This window comes from Homo sapiens, chromosome 2, assembly GCF_000001405.40.
Source record: "Homo sapiens chromosome 2, GRCh38.p14 Primary Assembly".
In the NCBI taxonomy this organism is placed as follows: domain Eukaryota; kingdom Metazoa; phylum Chordata; class Mammalia; order Primates; family Hominidae; genus Homo; species Homo sapiens.
The window spans coordinates 29,950,002-29,970,845 of NC_000002.12; the positions used below are offsets into that span (position 1 = coordinate 29,950,002).

General features: G+C 41.9%; 4 annotated features.

Annotated features, from left to right (window-relative positions):
• Window positions 13,643-14,143: an enhancer, noted in NCBI's record as "H3K4me1 hESC enhancer chr2:30186510-30187010 (GRCh37/hg19 assembly coordinates)". NCBI's record gives its function as "activates a minimal SCP1, AML or CMV promoter by ChIP-STARR-seq in primed H9 embryonic stem cells {active_cell/tissue: H9 hESC(primed)}" and the evidence as "EXISTENCE:reporter gene assay evidence [ECO:0000049][PMID:30033119]".
• Window positions 14,144-14,644: an enhancer, noted in NCBI's record as "H3K4me1 hESC enhancer chr2:30187011-30187511 (GRCh37/hg19 assembly coordinates)". NCBI's record gives its function as "activates a minimal SCP1, AML or CMV promoter by ChIP-STARR-seq in primed H9 embryonic stem cells {active_cell/tissue: H9 hESC(primed)}" and the evidence as "EXISTENCE:reporter gene assay evidence [ECO:0000049][PMID:30033119]".
• Window positions 16,030-16,531: an enhancer, noted in NCBI's record as "H3K4me1 hESC enhancer chr2:30188897-30189398 (GRCh37/hg19 assembly coordinates)". NCBI's record gives its function as "activates a minimal SCP1, AML or CMV promoter by ChIP-STARR-seq in primed H9 embryonic stem cells {active_cell/tissue: H9 hESC(primed)}" and the evidence as "EXISTENCE:reporter gene assay evidence [ECO:0000049][PMID:30033119]".
• Window positions 16,532-17,031: an enhancer, noted in NCBI's record as "H3K4me1 hESC enhancer chr2:30189399-30189898 (GRCh37/hg19 assembly coordinates)". NCBI's record gives its function as "activates a minimal SCP1, AML or CMV promoter by ChIP-STARR-seq in primed H9 embryonic stem cells {active_cell/tissue: H9 hESC(primed)}" and the evidence as "EXISTENCE:reporter gene assay evidence [ECO:0000049][PMID:30033119]".

Sequence of the window (20,844 nt, forward strand, 5' to 3'; positions counted from 1 at the left end):
ATTGTGAGCTTTTCTCTTCCAATCTGGAACATAATCACCTGCCATTTGCTCAGAGTGTTCATAAGAGATATTGTTGGGCGTCAAATGTGATGTCCTCAAGAGGGTCTCAAAGACGCTGAGGGTAATTATCAGAATGAATATGGGCAGCTGTGCCCTCCCAGAAGCATCCTTCCCCAAAAGGTGCTCTGCTTGGTGGCACTGCAATAAAGGCATGTGGTGTGTAAGGCAATGTGGTGTGTGTATGCTGTCTCTCTGCCTTTTTTTGTTACACTTTGCAGAGGTTGGCATCTTCACAGGGCCCCTTAGACTGCCATGTGGGATCTGTGTCTCTCTCCTTACTTTTTCTAGGCCTTTTCCTGTTTTAACTTATGCCCTGGAGGGCCAGCTCTTGTGTTGGGATGCTTGCTGACTGGTAGCGACGAGTGGCTCTGTAGTCACTCAGAGATCCAAGCACCCTGCCTCCTCCTACATCTGTCTTCATCTGGAGCCAGGCTGAGCTCCAGATTAACTCTAGCATGAACTTGGCCTGAAAGTTGCCAACCACTTTTGGTAATGACATCACCAATGGTGGGTAAATGTTTTACTTCTATCAGGCTCCTTGCGGAATCTGTGTCCAGGATTTTAAAAACAAAAAGACAAAAAAACCAGAGTCAGCAGGTTTGCAATAATTAAACAAAGCCCTGAAGGCAGAGCTGATGCAAAGCCCAGGTTGAAAGCAAGGCAGGGCGAGCTGCAGGTTAGAGCCTGTGTCTGCACCTCCCGTTGGGCCCAGCAGCTTGGGGCCAGCAGAGTCAGTCTGAGGCCAGGTGTGAGATGAGAAAACCAGGCCTCCTTAGAACAGAATCCAGCTGCTGAGGCTAAATGTCTTGTGAGGCCAACAAGCAGGAGTTTGCTTTCCCCCTAAAGGCCCCAAGGGTGTTAGAGTCAGGACAATCTTCTTAAACCAAACAGTGTGTTTTCTTCCCTCTGATCTTATGTCAGAGCAAGGTTAAGCTCCAGAAAAGTCACCTGGGTCAGGTACTCAACATTCACAGAGCAGGAGGGTTTAAAGTCAGAAGATTTGGATGGAATCATGTCTCTGTCACTTGCTGGCTGTGTGATCTGGGGCAAAACTCAAGTCTCCCTGAGCCTGATCCCTCAGCTGTAGAATAAACAAAGGACAGACCACATAGACCATGAAAAGCTTGCTCTGAGGATCAACTGAGATAATGTATGCACCAGGTCACACATAGTAGGAGCCTCATTCTTCCTCCTCTTCCATGAAAACATCATCGTTTATATTTCAGCTACTGTTTTGCTTTCAGAGAACTATGAGGACACAACATTTATTGTATTATAAATATTATTTTACAACTCTATATTTTCTATTTGATTTAGAACCCCTTAAGAAAAAAGATTGTGTCTTTCTTATCTTTCTTTGTATATCTAACACTTAATACATAGCAAATGTGCAAAAAAGAAAGGTTTGCTAAATGAATTCATACATCCGTGTACTTGGTGGAATAAATAATAGCCAGAGATAAATTCCCACATGTATTTAATTAAAATCTTTTTTCTCCACTGTTCTCTCCTTTTCTTGCCCTTTTGTCTTTTCATTCACTGCTTCATGTGCTGAATAGTTCTTCTGTGCCATCCCTACTCCAGGCACTGTAAGGACATAATGGTGAATAAGAATAAGCCATGGTCCTCATACTCTTCCAATCCTGTAATAGCACAGGTTTGAAAGTCAAACCACGGGGCAGTATGGGCTGTGTCTTATCAGTAGTATTTATAACTGTGAGTTTAGAGGGAGGAGCAATCCCTGGGGTTGCAGAGGCAGCTTCATAGAACACTTTGTCTTTGAACAAAGCCTTTGGATTTATCTCACTCTAGCCTGAGCTCTGAAATTTACCCATATTACTCCCAAACAATGGGAGGCTAATGATTAGAATGCAGACAGCAATAAGAAAAAGATTCCTAGCCATCAGCCAGGACTTGCTGTAACCAAGAAAAACTTTTCAACCTGTTCTAATGGGGAAAACAAGCCCATGACACACCAAGCCTCACAGAGTCTAGAGTTAGACAGAAGTCACTTGGGGCCCAAGACACTGCCAGCAATAGTCTTGTTTTGTTACTCATTAATGCCCCACTGTGAATGTGACTCGGCTTCTCTCTGTGTATATCTGACTCTGTTCATCATCTCAGCTGTCAGCTAACTGCCCAATGGAGAGTAATGGATCCAATGTAGTCATCATCAGTCTGATTAGGTGAAATAAGCCCAGGGCCACTCATAGGCTGCTGTCACATCTATAGGTTGGTTTTCCTTGGATCATGGCCAAGCTTCATACAACCGTCTGTGACAAGAGAGGGCAATGGAATCACATGGGACAATATGGTACACATTAAGGAGCTGCTGATGACCACACTTCCTTCCACAGGGCTTAGGGCAGCAACTCCATTAGAACGTGGATGTTGATAGGAAGCGTACTTTGAATGGCCTGCCCGGTCTTGCCTGGAATCTCAGGTGTGATTTTTATTGGAAGTGACAACAGGTAAGGTGCAGGAGAAAGGAGCAAACATTCCAGCGGAAAGAAGAAGATGGGCAAAGGCTTGGAGGGAGCAAAGCTCAGGATAACACTACCCCTGTAGATTATGTGATCTTGGCTTGGACTCATGAAAGCCAGGGATTTGGGGAGGTTCCAGAAAACCAAGATTCCTTACCAAGCAATAAATACTGACCTTTGGTGAAAGGAGAATCACTAATTCAGGAATGAGTAGGTTTATGTCTCCGAAAGTTATAAAACTGAATGCATTACTAGTGTGTGGAAAAGTGTTTGTGGAACTGCTATCTCTAAATTTAAAATAAGGATTAGTGCAACCTGCCTGAGACAGAACAGGGCAGCACCTCCTGGAGGCAGAGAGCTTGACCAAAGACTCCTGCTAGCAAAACTGTTGGTGATTAAAACTTATTCCCAAAGATAGTAGACAGACACATGTCTTATACCTTGCAAGACCTCATTAAACATCAAACAGAACTGGAGGGGCCCATTCACAGACCAGAAAGTTCAACAAAGGGAGAAGGAAATTGTATTGTCTGACAACAGATACAACTGCAGCCTAGAATACAGGTAGAGTTGCCTACAGAGAGGAAATCAAATTTCCAGGCAGACCTCCAGAGAGAGTAAATACAATGGAAGCTAGGGTCAGAATGGAACACAGAATACAGGTATGTTAATGGAACAATTTACTTCTACTCTCATGCAGAATACTGGGTGCTAGCCATCTGCCCTGTGCAAAGAAAGAAAAACTAAAGTCTCTAATGAATTAAAACAAACTATCTGGAGAGGACATGAGCCTTTATTGTGAGGATTTGTGTCTGCAAGCAAAACCCTACCCATGTGGACATTTGGGGTGCCCCCAGGACAAAGGCTCTCAGTCTTCCCACCCTAAGGGGAGCTGTCAATCAAGAGGCCTCACCAAGTACAGAGAGTTCCCAATCAGCCTCTCCCCAGCCTCAGTTAAAAATCTCATGATACACAAGCAAAACCTGCAGCATCATGAGAAACATTAAGATTAAGTGAAAATCCCAGTGGAATTCAAGAAAATCCTGATCTGAGTGCCATTTTTTAAAAATATCCGAAGACATTAAAGATCTCTTGGAAATCAAAAATATAATTTCCCCAACATAAAAATTAATAAATTGGATCCTTAAAATACAAAACCAAAAACCACTTTCAGAATGTTGAACAAAAAGACAAAGAGATGCAACGTACGAGAGAAAAGAGACATGGTGTTCAATTCAGAAAGTCTACTTCAGTTGAGAGGGTTGCTAAAAGGGAAAACATAGAGTCAAACAAGATGAAAGAAACTGACCCATGTCTAGACTCATGACCACCAGGCCTAAATAGAAACTAGTAAAACTACCCAGATGGGGGAAAATGGCTACCAACAAAAATAAAAAACAGATTCAGATTGACACCATGTTTCTTAGCCTCCACAGTGGATGCTAAAATATAATGGAATAATATCGCAAAGGCTGAGGAACATAAAATGTTAAGCTAGAATTTATAACCAGGTAATTTACTAAACAAGTGTAAAAGAATAAAAGTCTTTTGATACCAAAAAAAATCTCAGAAAGTTTATATTCTACATACCGTCTTTTAAAGTTATTTCAGGATGTTTGTCAACAAAATAGTGTTGGAAATAAAGAAAGAGGAAAACATTGGATCCAGGAAACAACAGATGCAACCCAGGAAACTAAATACAAAAGTTCTAGAATGATAGCTGTGAAATAGGCCTACCAACCAGTGAAGAATGGACTAGGGAAACTGAGACCTTCAAGAAAGAAGGTTCCAAGAAAAAAAAAAAACAGAAGTGGGAGGAAAAGCTGGGGAAGGGACTCAATAGAACAGAATCTAAAAACACATTGGGAATGAGAAAACAAAAAGCATGGGGATAAATAAAGGAAGGCACTTAGATTCTCCAAGGAAACCAAAAAGCTCTCAAGAAACTTGTCCAAATATGAAGCAGCTGGTTCAACATAGAACAAGAGATCATTGTCCATAAGAAAACACAAAATGGATTCTGAACAATAGAGAGATTGAGTGGTAAAAAGAGGAAGGCAAAAAGGCCTATGTTCCTTCCCTTAACAAGAAAAATGTAAAGCAATCTGTAATTTTGAGGAAGGGCAAGTCCAAGAAAGGCAAAGTCCAAAGGTGAAATCTGAAAAAATATGACATAATTTTGAGCAATTGGTAAAATGCAAGAAAAAATAATCTATTTGAAGATTTTTCTTTATGTGATACAGGAATAATGAAATGGCAACTGTAGAGAAAGAAATGTAATCAGAGCACAGTAATTAATTGGCTTTGGCTTTGCAGTAAATAGTCAGCACCTCCTCATAATAACGTAAAATCTCTGCGTTGGTTTCCACTTTTGGAATCAAGTTAGAGTCAAAGCAAAAAAAGAAAGAAAGAAGAAAACTTAATTATAATCCCAAAATATAACGTACATACTCTCAACTTCAGCGATATAAAAGTTCAGGTCACAGAAACTGAGAGGTGAAGGAAGATGACTTAAAGGGAGATACAGGGTCTTCATTTCCTCATTTTGCAGAGTAAGACTCAAGAGGTATGGTCTTTATTGCTATCACAAGATACAGAGGCTTAAATATAATATTTAAAATTTCAAAGCTAAAGGAACTGAAAGTAGTGACTTGATTCTTTAGAAGAAAGTAAAAGGAAGATGAGAATGTAAATAAGCCAAAACCTCATTTATCACAGGAGAAAATCAACGGACGCTGTCCCAGATTGAGAGGGTGCCATTCAACATGTGGTGGGATCCAGACTGAAACCAGGAGGGGTTCTGAGGGACTGCTTTGGAGGAGGAGGGCTGAGGTCGAAGATGGGCAGGCAGGGAGCAGGACCTGGGGGTGAGAGAGAGTCTCATTATAAACTGTGTATATATTAGTTTTATTTTTTATTTTAAAAGAAAAAATATTATTTCCAAAAAGGGTTATTAAAACCCTTAAAATCCAGAGTCCATAAAAAGTGTGGTGTAGCCCTGATTTTTGACTAAAGAGCCATCTAATTCACATAAAATACACTGCAGGTCTTAACAGAGCATTGGATATTATTCTTAGGCACATTAGTTGTAACATTTTGCCATATTTGTTCTCTCTCTCTGAAATAATTTTTCTCAAGCCATTTGAAAGCATGTTTTATACAATATATATACATCATGTCCCTTTACCTTTAATACACCAATGTATCTTTCCTAAGAACAGGGATATCCTCTTACACAACCATGGTTGAATTATCAAATTCAATAACTTTAACATTGATATAGTTTTATCTAACTAGAGGTTATTTGTCAACTTCATCAATTTTCCCAGTAATATCCTTTACTATAATTTTATTCCCAGAAAATAATCCAGTGCAGTTATCGAGTATTACATTTAGTTTGTCTTGTTTCTTTAGTTTTCTTTGAAACAGTTCCTTGTCCTTTCTTTGATATTCATGACATTGATAATTTGAAAATTATAGGTCAGTTACCTTATATAATTTTATTTGAATATAGTTATTTTATAGAATGCTTCTCAGTTTGGGTTTGCTTGATATTTCCTCATTAGATTTGTGTTACGCATTTTTGGCTAGAATATTAAATGGTTACTGAACTATCTTTGATTTCATCAATTCTGCTATCTTAAATCTGCTATTGAACAAATCTAGTAATTTTTTTAAAAGTTACTGTATTTTTCAATCCTGGAAATTCCATTTTTTATAGTTTCTTTTTCTCTATTGAGATTTACTATTTGTTGAGTTATTGCCACCATATATTTATTTAATTCTTTGAATATATATATAATAGATCTTTGAAGTCTTTGCTAAATTTATCATTCTGGGCTCACGCAGAATCCGTTTTCTATTGACTTATTTTTTTTCTTGAGTATGAGTCACACCTTGTTTCCTTGCATGCTCAACATTTTTGTTTGAAATTTGACATTTTAGGTAATATATTATGACAACTCTAGATTCTCTTTTTTTTTTTCCTGAGGGTTTTCTTGGTAGGGAAAGTGAAGTAGCTTGCCTGAACTTAAGCTACAGAATCTCTCTCTCCCATGGTGAATAGCCACGAATGTCTCTGTGCAGTTGTTTCATTCCTAACTTCACTTTTTTCACTGGCTTTCTAGGATTATGTAGTTCATAGATAACCAACACTTGGGTACAGGCTGTTCTCAAATGCCTTGGTCTCTTAAAGCTTTCACTCTGCTGGTTTATCATGTATAGATTGGGAAGCCTTCAAAGGTCAGCTAGTTCTCAAGTCAGCCTTGACTTTCACTTTGCCCTGAGCTCTCTTGGGTCCCTGAGCATGCTCATGGTTTCGTGGTCAGTCAGAGAAGGGTGGAGAGGACCTCTGCGACTCTAATATCTAGGATATTCCTGTTAAATATCTCACTGATCCACTTCATACCCCGATTTGCCCTGGGACCTCAAGGCATATTAACAGAGTGATAGTATTTCCTGCTCATTTTCTACTGAGTTTGCTATTTTTACTGACAACACCTTGAGTTGTCTCCCTCTTCCCCATATCAAGTCCACTCCCCTGGGCAGCAAAGCTACTGTTTTCCCTGGTCAATTCTGCAATGGTGAAATTATAATTTTTGCCAACAGCTTTGTATGTGGAGAGTGGATAGGATTTGTAGGAGGGTCAGGGGAGAATTTGACAATGGCCCCAGCAAGTAGTTTGCAGGCTGCGATGTTGTCACCCACTGCTCTGGTAGTTTTTCATCCATAAATGCTTCTCAATGTTTTGTCAGCCTTTGGTTGATTTCCAGATCCCTGAAAGGATTTTTGTCCAGTTTGATATGTATTTTGGGGACAGAGAATATGCCAACTTCTTGATGCCACCATGGCCAGTATTCTACTCTCCCTCTGATACATCCAGAGTTTACTGCTGCTTATTGTATACATCTAATTTTATTATTTACTATATGGATTTCTAGTTGCCTCATATTTTTTATTAAAATAGCTATGTTTACCCAGTGACTTGAGATGCCACCTTTATCATATACTAAATTGCTACATGTATTTGGTGGATTCCTAAACTTTCTATTCCATTAGTTTGTCTGTTTGTCAGAACTGCATTGTTAAATGATAGAGACTTTGCAGTATATTTTGTCTCCTTGGACTTATTGCTTCCTTCCCCCACTTCTCCCCCTCCCCCAGACACACAAACATAGCTATTTCTTTTCACTGTTTCATGGCTATACTTGCATGTTTATTTTTCCATGTGGACTTTCAGTATCATCCGTAAAGCTATGGCAAAAAAGTATCTTATCAGTTTTGGGGGGATATATTAAATTTATAAATTAACTTCCCCAGCATACTGATGATATTGAAATATTTATCAAAGAACAGGGATGTGCTTCCACTTACTCAATTCTGTATCTCTCAAAAATGTTTTTTGGTTTTCTTCATATAAGATTTACACACTTCTTATTAAGTTTATTCCAAAATATTTCATCTTTTTGTTGTTGTCTTAACCACATTTAAAATTCTAACAGCATTGGCCTTCAGTCTCAAATAAGAACTCAGGCATGGTGAGAGATTCAAAACAATTCCTATCAAATCAACATCATTTTTCATAAAATTAGAGAAAATAATCACAAAATTCATATGGAATCAAAAAAAGAGCCCAAATAACCAAAGCAGTCCTAAGCAAAAAGAACAAAGCTGGAGACATCATATTACCTGATTTCAAATTATACCACAAGGCTGTAGTAACTAAAACATCATGGTACCGGTATAAAAATGGACATATAGGTCAATTGAACAGAATAGAGAATGCAGAAATAAAGCTACATACCTACAATCAACTGATCTTTGACAAAGTCAATGAAAATATACACTGGGGAAAGGACACTGTATTCAATAAATGGTTCCGGGATAACTGGCTAGCCATGTGCAGAAGAATGAAATTGGGCCTTTATCTTTCACCATATACAAAAATTAATCCAAGATGGACTGAAGACTTAAATGTAAGACCTGAAACTGTAAAAATCTTAGAAGAAAATCTAGGAAAAACTCTTCTGGACATTGGGCTCGGCAAAGAATTTATGAATAAGACCCCAAAAGTAAATGGGACTTAATTAAACTAAAAAGATTCTGTATAGCAAAAGAAATAATCGATAGAGTAGATAGACAATCTACAGAATGGGAGAATATATTTGTAAACTATGTATCTGACAAAGGATTACGAATTAGTCCATTTTTATGCTGCTGATAAAGACATATTCAAGACTGGGCAATTTACAAAAGAAAGCGGTTTATTGGACTTACAGTTCCACATGGCTGGGGGAGCTTCACAATCATGGCAGAAGGCAGGGAGCAGCAGGTCACGTCTTACATGAATGGCAGCAAGCAAAGAGAAAGCTTGTGCAGGAAAAGTCCCCCTTTTAATAAACATCAGATCTCATGAGTCTACTTACTACCATGAGAACAGCACAGGAAAGACCTGCCCCCACGATTCAATTACCTCCCACCGGGTCCCTCCCACAACACGTGGGAATTCAAGATGAGATCTGGGTGGGGACACAGCCAAGCCATATCATTACACCCCCAAAATAAAAATCTTAGAAGAAAATCTAGGAAAAACTCTTCTGGACATTGGCCTCAGCAAATAATTTATGACTAAGACCTCAAAAGCAAATGCAACAAAACCAAAAATAGACAAATGCAACTTAATTAAACTAAAAAGATTCTGTATGGCAAAAGAAATCAATAGAGTAAATAGATGATCTAAAGAATGGGAGAAAATATTTGTAAACTATGTGTCAGACAAAGGACTAATATCCAGAATCTACAATGAACTAAACAAGAAAAAACAAATAATCTCATTTAAAAGTAGACAAAGATTTACAATAGCCAAAGAATGAAATATTTAGGAACTTATCTAACCAAACTGGTGAAAGTTCTCTATAAGGAGAGCTATAAAACACTGCTGAAAGAAATCAGAGATAACACAAATAAATGGAAAAAATATTCTATGTTCATGGATTAGAAGAATCAATATTGTTATTAATAAAATAGCCATACTGCTCAAAGCAATTTATAGATTCAATGCTATTCCTATCAAAACACAAACATCATCTCTCACAAAATTAGAAAAATATATTCTAAAATTCATACAGAACCAAAGAACACCCAAAATAGCCAAAGAAATCCTAAGCAAAAAAAGAAAGTTGGAGGCATCACATTACTTGACTTCAAACTATACTTTAAGAATACAATAACCTGGCCAGGTGGTAGCTCACGCCTGTAATCCCAGTACTTTGGGAGCCCGAGGCAAGTGGATTGCCTGAGGTAAGGAGTTCAAGACCAGCCTGGCTAATATGTTGAAACCCCGACTCTACAAAAAAATACAAAAATTAGCCAGGTGTGGTGGCACACGCCTGTAGTCCCAACTACTCAGGAGGCTGAGGCAGGGGAATTGCTTGAACCTGGGAGGCGGAAGTTGCAGTGAGCAGAGATGGCACCACTGCACTCCAGCTGGGGAGACAAAGTAAGACTCCATTTCAAAAAAAAAAGGACTACAATAACCGAAACAGCAGGGTGCTAGTACAAAAACAGACACATAGCCCAGTGGAACAGAATACAGAACCTACACATAAACCTGCACACCTATGACCATCTGATCTTCAATGAAATCAATAAAAATAAGCAGTAGGTAAAGTATTTAATAAATGGCGCTGGGATAACTGGCTAGCCATATGCTGAAGAATGAAACTGGACCCCTACCTCTCACCATATACAAAAATTAACTCAAGATGGATTAAAGATTTAAATGTAAGACCTAAAACTATAAAATCCTAGAATAAAACCTACGAAATACTCTTCTTGACATCAGCTTGGGCAAAGAATTTATGGCTAAGTCTCCAGAAGCAACTGCAACTAAAACAAAAATTGACAAATGGAACCTAATTAAACTAAAATCTGCATAGCAAAAGAAATTGCCAACAGAAAACAGAGAGCCTACAGAATGGGAGACAATATTTGCATCTGACAAAGGTCTAATATCCAGAATCTGCAAGGAACTTAAACATGTCAATAAGCAAAAAACAAATAACACAATTAAAACATAGGCAAAGGATACGAACAGACACCTCTCAAAAGAAGACATACAAATGGCCAACATATGACAAGATGCTCAACATCACTATTCATCAGAGAAATGCAAATTAAAACCACAATGAGATACTATCTTACACCAATCAGAATGATGAGTATTAAAAAGTCAAAAAGTAACAGATGCTGGTGAGACTGTGGCAAAAAGGGTTCACTTATATGCTGTTGGTGGGAATGCAAACTAGGTCCACTGTGGAAAGCAACTTGGAGATTTCTCAAAGAACTTAAAATAGAACTACCATTCGACTCAGAAATCCCACTACTGGGTATATACACAAAGGAAAATAATTCATTCTATCAAAAAGATACACACACTCCTATCTTCATTGCAGTGCTATTCATCATAGCAAAGACATGGATAAGTAGTCACCACCACCCCCTTTTCATGATCTAATTGCTGATTCTTAGACTCTGAAATAGATAAAAGTAAAAGCACAGAGTCCATCACTTATCCTCACAGCTATCTGTGCTGGATCTCTTGCTGAAGCCTTGTCAATAAATTGGTGGGAGGAGAATTGGTGGGTAAACAATGAAGTATAGCATATGTTTTATTCATTTTTATTAGGAACTATGCAAAGGGTGGAATGTGCTTTCATTTTGGGTTTCTTAGTTGTCATCCACTCCCCACTTTAGGATTATTTCACTGGCAATGAAATTCAGATTCTAAGGCAAGCAATCTCCCCTCTCTTTTCGAGCTCCATAACAGAGGGAGAGGAAAGAATGCCATCAAATTTCCAACAGCATTTCAAGGTCTCCTTCAGCCCCAGGATTTATTCACAACTCACTGTCCACTCACTATCTCATCCAGCAGGATTTGTTCTCTTTGTCTCTATTTTCTCTCTGTAAAGCTGAAGCAATCACCCTTAATGCCAGGTAAGGTGTTTTGAGATCCTAAGATGAAAGGATTTGAGCCCATCAACATGGAGTTTGGAACTGCTTCATGGTATATGTCTCTAAACCTTTCATTCAGCGCTGAACAGTTCTGTAATTCTGTTCCCTTTAAAGTAAATGTACCAAGTGGGGAGCTGACGGTATATTGCCTTTAAGGACACCAAATGTCCTACTTTCAGAAAACAGCCTGTTTGTTTCTGAGGCAGCCTTTGGCTGCTGCTCCAGATTCCCTGAAATAAGCAAAACCTCCCAAAGCAGCTGGGAGATGCAGGTGCTCCGGGCTCCTCCAGATTCACACCTGGAGTGAGAACATTCAGGTTCCCATTCTTTGCTGGCCTCCTCCTCCCCACTCTCAACTGGATATAACAGCTGCCCCTGCCCTGCCTTTCCCACCTTTGACCCACCCAACCTTAGATCTATCAATCCAAGGAGGGTGGTTTGCTCTCAGTAGTGCTCTTCATACTCTCTGTGGGGCAGTGAACTCCTCTTTTCAAATTCAATTTTCTTCTGATCTCGGACTATATGACAAATCGTAGCAAAGCAGTTTTAGACACAGGGTTTGGGGTAAGGGGCTGCAGGACCTCGCTGCTGCATCACCCTCTGACCCCTCTACCACTTCATACTCATATGCTAGGACCAAGTCACACTCCCAGAACCCTGGGTCTCCTTCCAACATGATCTGAAACTAATGGGAGGAAAAAAGAACATATTTAGCTCTGTAAATGAGGTCATAAAAGGGAGTAAAAAATGAGATTGTATCACCGGATGACATTCCTAACAAAAAGTAATGGTGAAGAGCAGCAGTTAAACTTTAGAGACCAACGCACAAGCTCAGAAGTCAGGACACTTAGGGAACAGCATCCTCTGGCCTTGATTCCCGGTGCAACCTCAGGAGAGTTACTTAAGTTCTCTGGGCTTCAGTTTCTTTTTCAGTTAAGCGTTAATGATATTGACCCATTCCCTTAGGTCTTCGCAAGCAGTCATTGGCAAAGGTCTTCCCTCCTCCAATAATATTTTAAAAGAAACAATGGGAACTGATGACAAAACATCTTTGCTGCATAAAACTCATGTTTTACAAAATTTCATGTGAGCCAAAATGTAATCCCAATTATAACTACATTTGAAATAATTATTCACTCACACATGATCATTTTCCTTTATTGAAGTCTAAACCTGTGCTTAAAATTGATTAAGGCATCTATATTTTATAACATTCTATATGATGCATTTATTCCCTTTTCTTTGCAATATATTCCCACTAAAACTTGTTCAAGCTAAGTCTGATATTTTTAGGACATGATTTTTAAGTGGTATCTGTGTGCAAATTACAGTAGCAAATCCAAATTAAATTGTTTTTACTTTAATGTATAATGTCAAACAGATAAATACCTAATTTGTATTCTTGGGAATTGAGAGACTGGTATTAAAAAATATCAACATAATAACGTGCTTAAAATCAGAAATTCAGGAAAAATTCGGAATTTACACTGAGATTCTGCCTCATAAAATCATTTTCATCTTAAAGTTGGTCTTGAAGCTTCTGGATAAAAAAAAAAAAAAAAAAAAAGGTCAGCACATTTCACACAGAAAGCAAAGACAGCCCATAGGCAGTAGATGGAGAGGAATAAGGAAAGAAAGCCAACCCCATCTTAAAGCTCTCCTTCCTTCTTACCTTTTTGTTTTCTGCTGTAAGTGTCCCCAACCTGGTTCCTTTCGGCTTGACTCTATGTTAGTTACACTGTTCGTTTCTATGTCTGTTTACAATGTACAAGACACCTTCATGCCCATCTCCTATCATTTCATTCTTACAACAATCTCAAAACACATGGTGAGCAGCCCTCTTTCTACCAGTTCTCCAGAGGAGGCAAGCAGGCTCTGGAGAGGATCTGACCACCCCAGCTGCCTGGCCGAGTGGGGCTCCAGACCTCTTCCTGCTCCTCTGTCCAGTCTGCCTAGCACTGATGTCACAGGTGCCCACTTTTGGGGCCCCGTTTGCCTTTTAGGACCTCTCCACAAACCTTCCCAGGAACAGAGGAGACCTGTGAGTTCAGGGCAGGGGCTCCCTCAGGAAGAGCACTGACTGCAGCCCTAAGACCTGAGTTCTGATTCTAGTCTTGGCCCTGCCTGACTCAGCAGCATCAGACACTTCATTTATTCTGTCTAGGCCTCAGTCACCCCATCCATAAACTGGGGTTGTAAATGTGGCTCGCCCACCTCATCGGCATACTAGGAAACTCAACATAGTACATAACATAGATGGAAATGGTCTTATTTCACTGTGTCCCATAAGCCACTGGAGATGTCCTCTTGGGGCCTATGTCCTGGGGGATCGTGATCCTTCAGAGTCCCCCCAGACTCCTGGAGCCTGCCAGGCACAGGACCTTGGGGAAAGAAAGAGCAGCATTCATTGGTGCTCTGACCTTCCCCTTGCGATCTGCCAAGGAGGCTGCTCTGGAGGGGCCCTTCCTGCCCATCAGTCCAGCCCTCCTAGTGGCTCCCCAATTATATCAAAGGCCAGGTTCCCACTCCCGCCCTGCCTCAGTCAGGGGCCATCAATGACTTGATGAAAGTTAAAGCCACAGCTCTGAGATGCAGGAGTCAGCCCCCTGTGCTCACCCCTGTAGAGCCTGCTGGGACAGTCAAGGCTTGGAAGTGAGTCAAGCAGGGAGTGGGGTGTGGGAAGGGGAGTGCAGAGATGGCAGCTCCAAGCAGCAACTGCTTCTCCAGCCTCCTGTCACGGGGCTGCTCTCCTCCCTCCTGACACCCCCAGGACTGAGCCCACTATGCTCCAGGGCTCATTAAATGTTTACCTGGTTAAAGCTTCAAGCTAGGATTAGGCAGGTTCTGGCTTGAGAAATCTGCAATGCTAATCAGGGATGGGCCAGAGGGGGTGATCTGGGATCCTGAGCCCCAGCAGCAGCCCCTTTGTGGGGGTGGGGGGCCCTGAGTTAAGGGGTTGGGGGACAGAGGAACCCTGTGCCTGGTTTAACCATGTGTTACACACACAGTTTTTAGACATGACTTTGAGCGCTTTAAGTCCACTGGACATCCCGAATAGGAGACGCAGCTACTGTGAGTCCCCCTTCGTTTTCCTAAAAGGTCTCAGGGAACAAGTCCAGAATTACGGGAGGCACCTGCATCTACATCTGGCCAGAGAGCTGAGCCCAACGCAGAGCTGCTGGTCAGCTGCAGGGAGCCGCAGCTTCTGGAAGATTCTCCTTGTCATCATCTAAAGTGTTCTGGCGGAGTAACAATACTGCCAGTAAGAGCTGGCATTGAGTGATACTACGCATTGAGCTTTCAGACCATTTACATGCAGTATTTTGTTTAATTTTCACAATGGTTGTGCAATGTAGGAACAATGAGGAAACTGAGGTTCACCCATGCAAGTCAGCACAGCCTGTAAGAGGCAGCAAAGCTGAACTAGGGCTGAGGTCTGACTTGAGGGCCTGAGTTCCTAACCAGCGTGCTGTTCTGAACTGCCTTCCAGGCATGAACAGTCTTTACAGATGACATCTGGGGGCTCTTTCAAGAAGAAAGGCAACAAATGTGTCTACTGAGCACCTACTCTGAGCTGGAATTCTGTACTCATGTCTTGTCATCTTCATGACAGTCCTGTGTGGTGAATACTCTCATCTCCGGTTTACAGATTAGAAAACTGAACTTGGGGATAGTCAATGACTCACTCAAGCTATCAAACTGGGCTCCAAACCCAGGTCCGTCTGACTCCAGTGCCCATCACCTTCCCACCAGGCTGATCTGAGTGTGTTTATTTGTGATTCTCACTCCACTTTGGGGGCTCCTATAGTTGCCCAACAAAACCATTAAAAGGGGAGGAAGCCCCTGGGGGTGCCACAGAATCAAGGGGTAAAGGAACCATGAGTTCAGGCTGGGAAGTGACATTTCAGAGAATTTCTAGAAGTCCCCAAATCCTGGGAGTTACTGACCCACCTTTTGAAAAATCTTGCTTTCAGAGCCATTAACTCAGAGTGCCTGAGATATTAAATCCCGTGTTTTTAAAAAAAGGCTTCCAGGTGACAATACCAGACCAAGAGGCAGATGAAATTTGCTTAGATTCTCCTTCTCATTCTCTGAGTGACTTCAGGTAAGTCAATTATCATCTCAGGGCCTCAGTTTCCTGATAAGACTTCTTAAAGCCCCTTCTACCTCTATTCTCTGATCCTGCAGTTGGATCTATCTCAGCCTAGGAGTGACTCCCAGTGGAGGTGTCTTGACACATTAATTGTGAAGCATATTGCAAATAGTTTGTTATTAATGTTGGATGTGTCAAAGTAGAGACCATTCAAGTACCATCACGCTCACTCATGATCAGTGAGCAGGGTAGAAGGAGGGGAATGATAACCAGCACTAGGAATGGCACAAGCACCCATTATTGGTGACCCATAGTAAATGTAGTGAAGGATCTGAGAATTGCAGAGCTGAAACATCAAGAAGGTGGCACAGAGGAAGTGCTATTTGTATTGGGTCTTTAAGGACAAGGAGTTTTCCAGAGAAGAAGGACCTTCGAGGCAGAGGACACATTAGATCCAGACGGTCTTCACCAACTGTGAGGATACTACTCTGCCCAGCCCAAGATGATTGAGTCACTCCTACAACATCCTCAGGGGAGGCTTCTGAGTCTCTGCTACCCTTGGCAGGGTTCAAAGTCCAGAGTGAAACCGATCAAGCAGGCTTCCGATGCTCAGGGAGGAAGAGTTCTGGGGTTGCTGGGAGCAAAGGACATTCTCCTTCCTTCAGCAACTCCTTCCAGAGTATAAGACCCTATCCTGCTATGCCTTGTTTTCTGCCCAGACCTGCCCAGCCTTGTCCAGTCCTGCCCAGTCCTCCCCTACACAGCACTAGCAGCCCTGCCCAGTTCTGCCCTGGCCTGCCCAGTCCTGCTGAGCCTTGCCCAGTTCTGACAACTTCTGCCCAGTACAGGCATCCCTGCCCAGTCCTGCTCAGCATAGCCCAGTTATGCCTTGTTCTGGCCGGTGCTGTCCTGTCCTGCCCAACTCTGCTTTGCCCAGCCAAGCCCTGCTCAGCCCAGTTCACATTCTGCTCCATCCTGCCCAGCCCGTTCATTCCTGCCCAGTCAGCCCTTCCTGTCCACTCCAACCTGGCCCTGCCCTGCCCTGCCAGCCCTGTCCAGTCCAGTTTTCTGCCCAGTCCTGCCCTGCCTTGGTCTGATTCAGGACTTAAAGGAAGCCTCCTTTCTGTAAGACACCCTAGTCATTCTCTAAGGCTATATCTGGGGACATGATAAGAAACAGCTCTACAAAACCCCCAACTACATCTATTTAAGAACATTGTTGAAGACATCGTTACTTTATGGGTTTTCTTTATGGAAATCCTTGGGAGAAGTTTCTAGCTGAACTCAATAATAGGAATTCTGCTTCTTTCAATCAATTGGATTGTTTTTACCTCAGGGCATTATGACTTAATAATGATAGTTCTTACTGCAGAGCCTCAAAAGAAAGCCAGGGGCCAAATAAATGACCCGTCTTTGTAAGTACATAAGTTTCAAGGTGTATATTTTTGCACTAACTTTTTCCATCTTACAAGAATGAAGGTTTTGCTCTCTGCTTCCTTTTTTTTTTTATTTTTTTTGTTTCATGGTTAATGTATTTTTCTTTGTAAACTGGCCTGAATTCTTCTTTGAAGGAAGCTGGACACAAGTAATGAGGAATATTTATTAAACTCACAGTTTTGGTGGTGGTGTAAGGATAGGGGGCCCCTACTTTTTCACACATCTGGACTGGGATGAAAGAAAGCTCCCCTAATGCCTGTGGGGCTGTATCCCACACACGGTGGCTGTGTGGGAGACTGGATCTCCAGAAGAGAAGAACTTCGCTCAGCAGGAAGTGATTGTACCCATGAGGAAGAACAACCTTGGAAGTGCTTACAAACGGGTTGTATTTGCTTTAGGACTTTAAGAGAATCAGGTTTTAAAAGAGATCTGCAAAAGATAATATGATTGACAGCTTTATGTTTCTTAGGTGCAGAGCTCACAAAGCAAGTAATCATTGTCAGATGATTAGCTCAAGGCAGGGGAAGGAGGAGCCTCATGGACACAAGAGGGAAAAAACAAGTGAACACCAAGTTGCATGCAAGGGACAAAATGTACTTCAATGTCTTTTTCACCATTATTTAAAAAAAAAAAAAAAAAGCAAACAGACTTCATGCAGGTCCTATCTTGGGGACAGTCTGAGGGTATCACGGGGAGAAAAGGTGATTTTTTACTCCCAGTGACCTCCCATTCTGGTTGGAGAAAGAAGTCAGAGAGATAAAAGTCATATGGCACAAAGTTGCCTATGCTGAGTGTACAATTGGCTATGGGGTATCATGCGGAAGGCCTTCAATCCAGGAGTCTTAGGAGCTTCATCTGACTCTAGTGCCAAGAATGGATGGGAGCATGCAGAGACCAGAGTAAGAGGCCAGCTATCCTGGACTCTAACAGCAATCCAGGAGTCCAGCGGGGTGGTGACAGAGGGGGCAGAAAGGAAATGATGAATTCCAGTTGACCAGAGACAAAACAGAAGGGAGTCTCATCACACATGCTTTAATCTACAGATTTGACCATGGGAGAGAGAGGAAAAAAAAAACAATGTAAAATTTCCAGGCTCATGTGCTCCTCCATGAACCAGAAGCTATGAAGCTGCAAGTCCTTCACTTGGTCTCAGCTCCCACATGCCTCTCACAGTGTGAGTGCCTCATGGCAGGACTGGAAACGTCTAATGTGTCCAAGTCCTTTGTTACATGCAGTGTGGATCACAAAATTCCTTAGATCACCTATAACATGCAATGTGTATGGCTTTGTGAAGACACAAAGAAATCTAAGAAGTCTTTGTGTCTTCACAGGTATTGTATGTTATAGGTGATCTAAGGAATTTTCAAGCTGTAATTTTCGCCTTCCCCACTTCAGACTAAGATAAGATGCGACTCAGTAAAAATGTCTAGTAGGTGCTTGATACAATTTTGATGACTGAGTGAATGGCTGGCCAAAGAGAAGAAGGTGGGGATGAGAATCAGCCTCACGTTGGGATCTGGGGTGATTAAAGGAGCCTCAGAGATAATCATAGAAGCCCAGAGTTGCAGCTGGTTTTGAAGAAATGTCGGCAGGCCTCATTCTTTGTGGTGTTCATGTCACGGCTCCTGTTGTTTCCCTAGCATAAAGTTCCTATCCTCTTTTTCCACATGAACTACTCGTCTTTCAAGACCCAACCTAAACATTACATCCTTAGGTGAGCCTTTTCTGAACCCACAGTGCAGACTTAGTTACTGTGTTCCCATAGTATATGTTTCTATTATAGAACCTATTAACAAAGCTTTATGGTCATTTATTGGAGTATGTTCAGCCTCTACTGGTCTGGAATCACATTAGGAGCTACTTGTTGCTTATTATTAATTTCCCAAAACAGTGCCTGGAATGGAAATTGAGTGAGTTTGGCTAGAGAGAAGCTGAGATTGGTAAAACACCCATCATAGGAGACTAAATTATTGGTCCTAATTTTTCACCCCCTCTCACCATAGTAGAACCCTTGCACTGTGGCCTCAGGAAAGGGCAAGTGGGCTTTCCTGACACTGATTCTGATCTTATCCAGCCGTCTTCAAAGTGCGGAATGCAAACATCTGGAAGGGGGTGGTCCCTGAAATACTTTTAGAAAGGCTGCGTGTTCAAAACTACTTTTATAATAATACTAAGACATTGTTTGTTCTTTTCACTGAGTTGACATTTCCACTGACGGTGCAGAAGCAGCTTTGGGTGAAAGTGCCGGCACCTCAGCAGGTATCCAGGCTGTGCCACCAAGCTAAATCTATAGTCATTGTATATACCTCACTGCCATTCACTCTCAGTAAGGGAAAGTGCCAGTTTGTCTACAAATTTCCCTGATGAAGCAGTAAACAAGATGCATTTTATTAAATCTTGATGCATGAGTAAACGTTTTACTAGTGTGTGAAAAGAAATGGTAAGTAAGCATAAAGCACTTGTGTTACACACCCAAGTACTATAGTGGTCACAAGGAGAAGCATTTGTGTGATGGAGGTGCAAGTGGTCCCAGCTGCTTTGTCCATGGAACACCATTTTCACTTGAAAGGATGACTAGCAAACAATGGTAGCTTGGCAGACACTTGGTCAGAAACAGAGACTGTCACTTCTAGGAAAACACCTGACAATACCTGTAGCTAATGATACAATTTGAGCTTCCAAACCAAAATGAGGATTTTGTACAGCATGTTGTATCGGTGTCCTCAAGAGTGTGACAGGCCCCACCTGTCTTCCTTTGCCCCACACTGAGCAGCTGATGAGAAAGCCCAGGTGTTCTCTCCCTGGGTGCCTGCAGAGAAGTTCAAACCACACAAACCCTGGCTGTGCACAGAACTCACTCGCTTCTGCCCCCTAACCACAGTAAAAACCAAAGCCACTGGCCCCTGGATTTAAAGTCATTTCAGACCACCTTGGGGGCCTGCCCTGCTCTCTCCAGAAAGCCTCAATCTATGAGAAATGAATGTTTTTGTGCCCTTTCTGGACATGTGTAGCATCCTCAGCATTGACATCCATGCCAATTTTGAGGGATTGATCCTGCCCTCCATGAGCTACCACAAGACAATAAGTGGTGTGAGCATGATGCTCTGCGCAACGACCACCACTACCTGGGGGCCTTTCTGCTCTCGTTTTTTGGCTTGCTAACTAGCTCTGCTGCCTATAGGCATACGTGCACCTGGCGCTGCTGCCTGCTGGCCAGTGTGCTCTTTGAGTGGTGCTGCTGCTTGCTGGCGAGCCTACACTTTGAGCTGTGCTAGTTTGTGCTGCATTTGCCAAGTCCTGCTGAGACTCTGCTATAGATTTAATGGCCTTAAATGAGAAGTTTCAATAATTGGCATTTAGGGACTGGGGTCCCTAAATAGGATTGGTGCCCTCCTTAGAGTTGCTCTGGGGAGTGTGTCATGGCCCAGATGGAGCCACGTGCCTCAGACTGAATCATCTATCTTGATTCCAGCATAAGCTGAGACTGACTGACTCTCGGCTCAGGGAACAACTCTTGCCCTCTGACTGTTGTTTGCGTGCACCAACCAGGTACTAACCCCTGTTCTACAGGGCACTCAGGGAAAAGCTGGTGTCCTGTACAATGTGTGGGTCCATTCAGGTAGTCATTCAGGTGAGGAACAGCAACTACATGGGGTGCACCGAGGGACAGCCCAAGGGCACTGGCTCACCTGGACTCTGTGAGGCTCAAAGTGTCTCTGCTGTTGTTGCTGCTTTGCTTCTGTCACAAGTAAAGAGCCT